The sequence below is a fragment of the Homo sapiens genome, chromosome 15 (assembly GCF_000001405.40).
Source record: "Homo sapiens chromosome 15, GRCh38.p14 Primary Assembly".
Classification (NCBI taxonomy): domain Eukaryota; kingdom Metazoa; phylum Chordata; class Mammalia; order Primates; family Hominidae; genus Homo; species Homo sapiens.
This window is the reverse complement of record NC_000015.10, coordinates 35286839-35295180: the sequence shown is the minus strand read 5'-3', so window position 1 is coordinate 35295180 and position 8342 is coordinate 35286839. Positions and strand designations below refer to the sequence as shown.

The window sequence follows — 8342 nt, the reverse complement described above, 5'->3', positions numbered from 1 at the left end:
GCCTGGTTAGTTTTGATGGTAACACAATGAAAAGTGGGTAGTGGCCCATATTAGCCTTCTTCACAGGCTTGGTTTCTTAGCTAGTTCGTAGAGGTGAGATCGTTGTGTGTTAGTTAAGGAAGAGCAGCCTCCCTGCGAGCAGGGTGGTTCCAGCAACTGCCCTTCAACTCTGAATGCTGACATGGCACTAGGAGGGAGGATTGGGACTGTGAGGAAAGGCAATGTCACTGAGCCCCGTGAACTCACCATGCAACAGGACCTTTGCACATATCTCATCCTGTTCCCGACTAACTAGCTGTTTGTCTTCTCTTTGATTTCTGTACAAGTCTCATAGCTTTAGGAAAACCTTCCCTCACTCCAGTGGCCTCCCTGATCCAGTTCTTATAGCTCTTTGCACCTCACCTTTATCTCATATGTCACAGCTGCAGTTTTATATCTATCTGTGGGATTGTTTTATTAAGTTTGACTCCTTTGCTAGACTAGGCTCTGTGTAAAAGGGACTATACCTGTTTTGGTTCACTGTTGTATCTCAAGCACAGTATATAGTGTGTAGTAGGTGCACACAAAGATAAATTTAATGAATTAATACAATCAGAGTTAGCAGACATTGAAGACAAAAAAAACGGCAAAGGAGACTAAAGAGAACCAACAGGAGGTACTGTTGAAGTTGAAGTTGCAAGGAGGATTTCTTGTTGCAACTAGTAGTGTCTACAGCTCAATCCTCATGGACATGAACCAACTGATCTTGAAAGGACAATACTACAAACCTACTGTCTGAAAGCAAAGAACTATTTAAAGACTATATTAATAGCAACAGTAATCGCCAGAGGGATATGAGATGGAAATTTAGGGGAACAGCAAGTCTAAGGCAGCTTCAAAGGCAACTCCCTCAAGAATCTAGTCCTAACTAAGGAAACAATTGTTATAGTTCTTCAAGGACTGAGGGAGTAGGATAGATTCAGGAAACAAGAGGGGCATTTGGGTTGGGGATGGAGTAGGAGGAAAGGGGGATAGGAGTGGCATTACAGCATTTTCGAAGCAGGGAAACAACTGGCTATATACGGAGTCAATTCAGGAACTAGGGCACTTTGAGGAGTGTGGTCGTGCCAAAGCCAGTTCACTGAGAAAGGGCTGAGTTAGTCAAAGTTGGAGCAAACAACTGGACTGGCTGAGATGTGAAGCTCTCTCCCTACTGAGTAGGACTTAGAGGCTAGAGGTTGGATTGCCAATGGTTTTATGGTAACTGTGCCCCTTATGCTAACAAGTGTCACCCAAGATAAATAAGACAATGATGCAGAATTAGCTAATCTTGGACAAAAGTCCTAACAAAGTTGAAGAATCACCACTAGGGAAGATTTCATTCTGTTTCCATTTTAATTCTGCACCAGTCAGGGACACCATTACATTCCTTTCACATCCACCACCTCTGTGCGTTTACAGTGCATCCTCTTCCTTTGTCTTATGAAGACCTGCATTTCAGAAGCAATTTTTCCCCCTTGCTAGATCATCATTCAGTAGCAGAATAGGACACCCCTGAGCAATCACTGAGTTTCATCTTTCTGTCACAAAGGAATTCAATGACTCACCTCTTGCAACTACACTAACTCTTTCAGGCCAAGAGGGCACTGGTCAGCGTTTTGGAGGAAGTAATTTACTAAATGGTGCCCTTGTGGCCAGAAAGACTCAACACACATAAAAGGAGAAACCACAGACTCCACTTCTCCTGCTCAGAGTGTTGGAAACAATTAGGATTAATTATGTGTTTTTGTGTGGAAGTGATGATATGAATTTCAATGGCATACAGGAAAAGGAGATAAGCCTATTTTTTTAAAGAAAATAGTTCCGGTTTAGGTCCATTATAGCTGCACAATGTCATTATGAGATATGAGAAAGAGATAACTAAATTATTCATATTACAATTTTATTTGTGCTCTATTCTTTATTTTTCCTGGAAAAAGTCCCTATTTGTTATTAAAACTAGCATGTTTTATAAAGAGATATATGTTAATTACACAGAAAGCTGCCTTAGTCAGAATAGCAAATTCTATAGTGAATTTCAGAGTTTTTAAAATGTGTGCTCTCTATGCTGTAGAATATTTCTTGCTAATGGTTCATGCCATCTATATATCTAGTGATCTTTGAACCTTATGTTCATTATTATGGTTATAGCTGTACCCAAATGGCAGCATATTATTAAAATATGAGATAATGATTGAAGAAACTAAATATAATTATGCTTGTAAAGGAAAACAAACCTAGGAGTAAGTTTTTAGGAGGCAAAATAATACCTTTAAAATGTTATATTCAAAGTAAACATATTACGACAGATGAGAAATGCCAGATTTTCAGGCAAAGGGTGAGAAACTGAACTGAGTTTCAAAAGCCATCTCAAAAAAGTTGTTCACTTTTAAAAAAAAGTACATTTTCTAAAAAGTAGCAAGTTTCCCAGCATTTCTTTTTTAAAAATATGCATTTTCTGTTGTTCAAATGAATAAATATAAAATTATTTTCATTTTGGCACTTTCTAAAATCCTGATCCTACCAGTGGGTAAAATCATCACTAACTTTGCAGTATTGACTTTTAGCTCTGTAGTCCTACTTCCATGTCATGAAGGCCAGCAGCCGAAAAAAATAATGAAGACTTATCCCAGTCACCAGTTGAACAAATTCTGTTATCATATTAGTCCTGAACATTTAGCAGGGAAAATAATATCAAATATTCTCATATCAAGGTACAGAAGTATCAGTCTCATGGCAGACCCAGATTTGGAGGGCTAATGTTAAGCTAGATATCTTTCAGAGTAACCAAGAGTAGATCATTGATCTACTGAATCCTCTCTTTAGAATGAGATATATTTATTATTGGTTAGGACCAGGTAGACAATTTACATTTGTGGTATGTGGTTAATGTAACAATAAGTTAATAACACTATCAGGTGTCTGGAGCGTGTTTACTTTGGATACAACTATAAAGAATACATTTTTAGCATGGCAATTTTTTCCCAAATTTTCATCAAAAAATAAATGATTTATGAGAATGCTTTTTGAGATTACATGAACATTTAGATATTTGTATTGATAATTTTTTTACACTACTTCTCCTTTTAGGGCTCAGTTTTGAAAGCTCTCCTGAGAAAGGAGGAAAAAGCATTTATATGAGGAAGCAAGAAGACTGGAAATGAATTAAGTATTAGAGGAGTAGAGTGGCAGTGACTAAGGTCAGAAAAAAACTAAGTGAGCAAAGAGAACTGAACAAAATAGCAAAAGAAGAGAACAGTGGTGTATGAAATAGGAAATAAAGTGAGGACTATCTCAGAAAAGAAGAAAAATAAGACCCAGAAAAAAATATATATCTCTCAAGAAAATACCTACCTGACAATATAATTTCCATTAATCTCTATCCACATACCCTTCTTCATATCTGTCTAGTCATTCATAGGCAGACAAGGCTGAGCTATCACCTTAAGCCTAAGATATCACATCATCTTTTGTAGCTGAGATTCTGGAAGTAAATCCTGGAAAATTGGGAGGAGGTGAGAACATTAAGAGATTATAAGAAAATTTAAGCCATTTTTCTTCTGACTTAATTTTCATCTTCATAAGAATATCTTATCCAAATGAGCATAAAATATGAAAGAAGAGCCAAAAATTAACAAATAACAGGCCTCCATAAAGACAAGAGTGTGATGCTGTGGAGTTTTGTCATAACATAAAAATCTGTAGAAGGTTAGGATGTTTGTCACTTTTGGTTTATGTGATGCTTATTTTTTGTCAGCATGTATAATCCCAAGTAATTTATTATAATAGATTTTAGAAGGTAAAATAAATAATTTAACCTATCCCATTCTCATGTAGTTTCTAAGGATTCCCAACGTAAGTCAAATGTGTCTAAAAGAAACAATGTCCACCATGTAAGTTACTCACAGACAATAAAGGAAGTTGATTACCTAGGCTCCAAAACCATTAGCCATCCCTTGGTGTAATTTACCTGGATTACTAACCAATGTTTAATATATTTTTCCTACTTATTGTTGATTTTCAGCTTGTAGGCATGTAGGTTTTTATTTTAAATCACTGTCAAATTGTGAAACTTAACAAAAAATGGCAGTGGGTGATTTTTCTGTAATGCTCCTGCATTCACTTCTTTGAATGTTAGGTTAGTTTTTGGCTAATGGTTTTGGAGCCTAGGTAAGCAACTTCACTTATTGTCTGTAAGTTACATGGTGGATATTGTTTCTTTTAGACATATTTTACTTGTGTTGGAAATTGTTAATAACTACACGAGAATGTGATAGGTTTAATTAATTATTTTGCCTTCTAAAATATATTATAATTAGTTACTTGGGATTATATGTGCTGACAAAAAAAAAAAGTATCACACAAACCAAAAGTGATAAACATCCTAACCTTCTGGCAACAAACAACTATGGCATGCACAAAGGGCGGATGCTTTAAGTGGCAGAAAGGGGGACGGAAGTGGGTAATTATTTGTAGCAATGCTTTTACTGTTGTTCGAAATGAGACAGACTAACAGTGGCAGCAGTCATTTTGCTGAATCAAAGTCCATGTTAGTCACATTATACACTGCCACAAAAGGTTGTTAAGGCTGGTATTAGCATGTACCACTGAGGACATTGGAAGGACTCGATCTGTCACACTAAATCGCCTTCTTGCCCTCAACCATTGAAGTCTCCAGCTCCTCTGACATGTTCTTTCATTAATGGCCTGGCCTTGACAACTGATCCTAATTGCCTCTGAACTGCACTTCATGTATTATTGGTGTCTGCCTGCCCTGGTTCATGTCAACAAGCTACAGCATGTGCAGGGTGTGCCCAGTGCCTTTGCAGAAATGATGTTCACATCGTCATATTCCTCTGAGGGGATTGGGTCTCGCTGGAAGTAAAGTAGAAAGCTAAAGATCTTCCTGTCTCTTCTTTGTAATACCTTAATGTTGATTTGTGCTGTGTACCTACTAAGCTCATCTAAAGGACTCACTAAAACATTAAACCAATTATGCAACATTCCATTAAGGCACAGATGTAAATGCTGGCTTCAATTTGCCCTTGTTTTAGTAAGTGGTAAAATGTGTGTTCATTGCAAAACCTTTCCAACTTTAGTTAATATGGCTTACATTTCTTTTCAACTTTAGTGTGGTTTACTTTTATTTTGAGTATGCATAACAATTTCAATTTAATGTATGATAATGGCCAAAAGAGCCTACAATATAGTTTCCAGGTAGCAGTACGCATTAGACCAGAACTCCCAAAAGTAAATTATTGAAGGTTTGAATAGGGTATTTTAGTCTTAACATTTATCAGCAGATTTATATTTACTACATTTTCTAAAAGTAGCTAAAATAATCAATTTTAGTGCATTACATGTATTTAAAACCTTTATTTTGTTCTGACATTTCAGGAAACATTCATAAAGGACAAAACAGTTTAGATACATTTTAATTTATAAGATGAGTTATTTGCTTTCAGCAAAATAGTTTAGAATCTAAAACATAACATTAGAAATGTTCAAGATATTTACCTCTTTTTCTGAAAATGTCTCTGAGATTTAAAATTTGCCTCATTCCTATGACAATTTTTTACAATCACATCTCTGAACAATAATATGAGATTCTTTCAATCTTTTCATCCTTTTTTATTTATTGAAGGCAGTTTTCTGGTGAGCCTTTTAAGCATGCAAGTTCTACCCATGATCATAAAAAATAAATCACAGAAGCTCTTCGGTGCTAGGTATCATTTAGCCTAATCTAGACAGTGACATTTGGGCCACTAACAGCATAATCATGGTTATTGCTACAAATTGCTCCATGTTTGAGTTTTAATGTTATAAGTAAATTATGCCAGGGGATAAAATATATGTTTCTTTGGGAATTAAACATGTTTATTTCAGCAATGTGGCCATGGAATAGCACGGAAACCTTAAGCTTGTTTCATGTAGTAATACTGCCACCTTCTGAAGCCCAGAGGAATTGTCCTCAAGGTTAGCTGTTTTAAGAGCCATCTCATTTGTAGTGATCCAGCAGCCAGAAACTTCTAAGTCTAGAAACCATCTGGCTTTTATCATAGAAATGATAAGTTTGATTTTAATCTTCATTTAAAATAAGTAGAAATGAATACAGGTATCCAACAGTCGGTAAAAATACAAGTTCCTCTTTTCATTTTACCCCCAAAAGCCTTTTATTTTCTGGACTTTAGAACTATCTTTTTTTGGTGATGTGTAGTTTCCTGTTAAAAAGCTCAGCTGATGTAAAGCTAATTCTGATATGGAAGTTACACAGCAAGAGCAGTTGCCTGGCAGAAGTGGGGCAGTGGTGGCCACAGCTGGGATTGTGAGAAGGGGATGGCAAATGTTTTCCTATCATTCAATCAGACAGTATGCCCTTCAGCAGAACAACAAGCTCTCCTGATTCTTTAGAATTAGTGAGATTAGCATGAAGCACATAATGCAGGATGATGGGATTTGTCATAATTTGCATTGTCCTGGAAAAATGCGGGTTGATAGAGCGATGCATCTTGGAGCATGTCATGTCCCACGGGCAGGTCACAGAGGAAGCTTGGCAGAAATAATTTTGTGATATGTGCATCAGTTGCAAATGCTTCATAAGTAATTTGTCAAAATAAAATAAATAGGAAGCGGTTAGGAAGGTAGAGAAAGTAGGGTCATTGTAAACGTACCTCAAAAAAAATTAGATATGTCATCCTCAAATATCACATTTTTAGTGATTAAATGAAAATACATACAATGAATGACTAGACTTATTCTCCTTTTGGTTTTAAATTTCCAAAACCTTACTGGTAAGTCTTTCCTTTTTCCTAAAAGTAAAATCTTCCCTAAAAGTAAAATCTTACTGGTAAACCTTTCCTTTTTCCTAAAGGTAAAATCTTGGAAAATACGTGTGTGTTTCTGCAAAGTTTATTTATGAAAGCCCCTTATAGAAATTATGAAATATAGCTACATTAGGGAAGGTTTTCTGAGAATTTGCATCTGACCTTGATAATGTTCCCAAACTACAGATAGGAAAGGATAATCAGTATGTAGTTGACAAAATGAACATGACACTGTAACTTATCTGCAGCAGCATTTCTGGAAATGGGCATATAGAATTCAGACAGGCAAGGGGAGCATGCTTATTCAGCATAGCATTGCAAGAATGAAAGGTCCAGTGTCAGGTATTGTCCGTGGTTTATTTATGGAGTACCTGACAGTGATGCCACTGTCTTTGATATTTAGAAATTTCTTCTATCCAAGAACATTATAGCTAGTGTTTACAGGTTATGTTATTTATCATTTCAATATCTGCTTCTACTGCACAAAGACATTTTGCAATGTCTCCTTTATTTGTCTTTATACATTTCAAACAAAAGATTAATGCCGGCAGTTCAGTAACACTGATCTTTTATGACAGTTGAACATTTGTGGGTTGAGGGTCTAATAAGAAAAAAAAATTTAAGTAAGGAGTTTAAGGAAAATGAAAAAAATAATCACTTGTGAAAATCAGGCTTATAATAAAAATGTATCTTCTTACTACACTGTTCGTAGGAAGAATATTCATTTTCTCAGATGGTTATAATTGTAGAATTAGGTTTTATGAAAACTAAAATTACCCTGGGGCACAGCTCAACATGAATAAATCTTTCAACACTCAGATCTGGAAACATGATACACACGAAACTAATAATGCCCTACAATTACAAGTAGATCAAGAAGAACTGTGCGAAGTTTTTAAAAAACATTATTTATTGAGTTCTGTAACATGAAAGTAACTGCAAATAATGTTAGTTCAGACTATTTTAAATCATTTGTTGTTTGTAAAATAATAGCCCTCTGTATAAACCTCATATGTTTTTAAACTTGCCCTCCTGTCTGTAATCTTCAAAACTGACTGCTTTCAAACAAACTGTTTTACTAATCAGAGATAATAAGTGCTTTGTGGTGCCAGTTGTTAAAAACTAGATTTTTTGTGAACATTATTTTTCTAATATATCATCTCTTGACTCATAAAAAGATTTTTTTAAACAAAGCCTGTTTACTGAGTTGTAACATTTCAGCCCAATTTCAGCATTGTGGATATGCTGTACGATATTTATTTCATTAAGAGTTGGTATTGTAGACTTCAGTCTTGTGTCACATTTTAACAACTTTTTTCTATTGTCTTCTTTTTGCTGTATACTACTGCGTCAAAAAAAGAAAAGGCACCTGTTGCTTCTCCCATGAAATTCCTTTCCTCAGAGGAAAAGTGCTTACAGTGACAGATAATTTGCCTTGGTCAGAAGTTTTCTAGCATTTTCCCCTAAATAGCAAAGCCATAATACTCTTAGATAATCTTC

At 35.5% G+C, this 8342-nt stretch overlaps 1 protein-coding gene across 5 annotated transcripts in view; it reads left to right on the top strand.

The window, feature by feature from the left end:
- Positions 1 to 8342, top strand: part of DPH6 (diphthamine biosynthesis 6) — a 401189-nt gene that overhangs the window by 250985 nt on the left and 141862 nt on the right. The window lies entirely within an intron of this gene.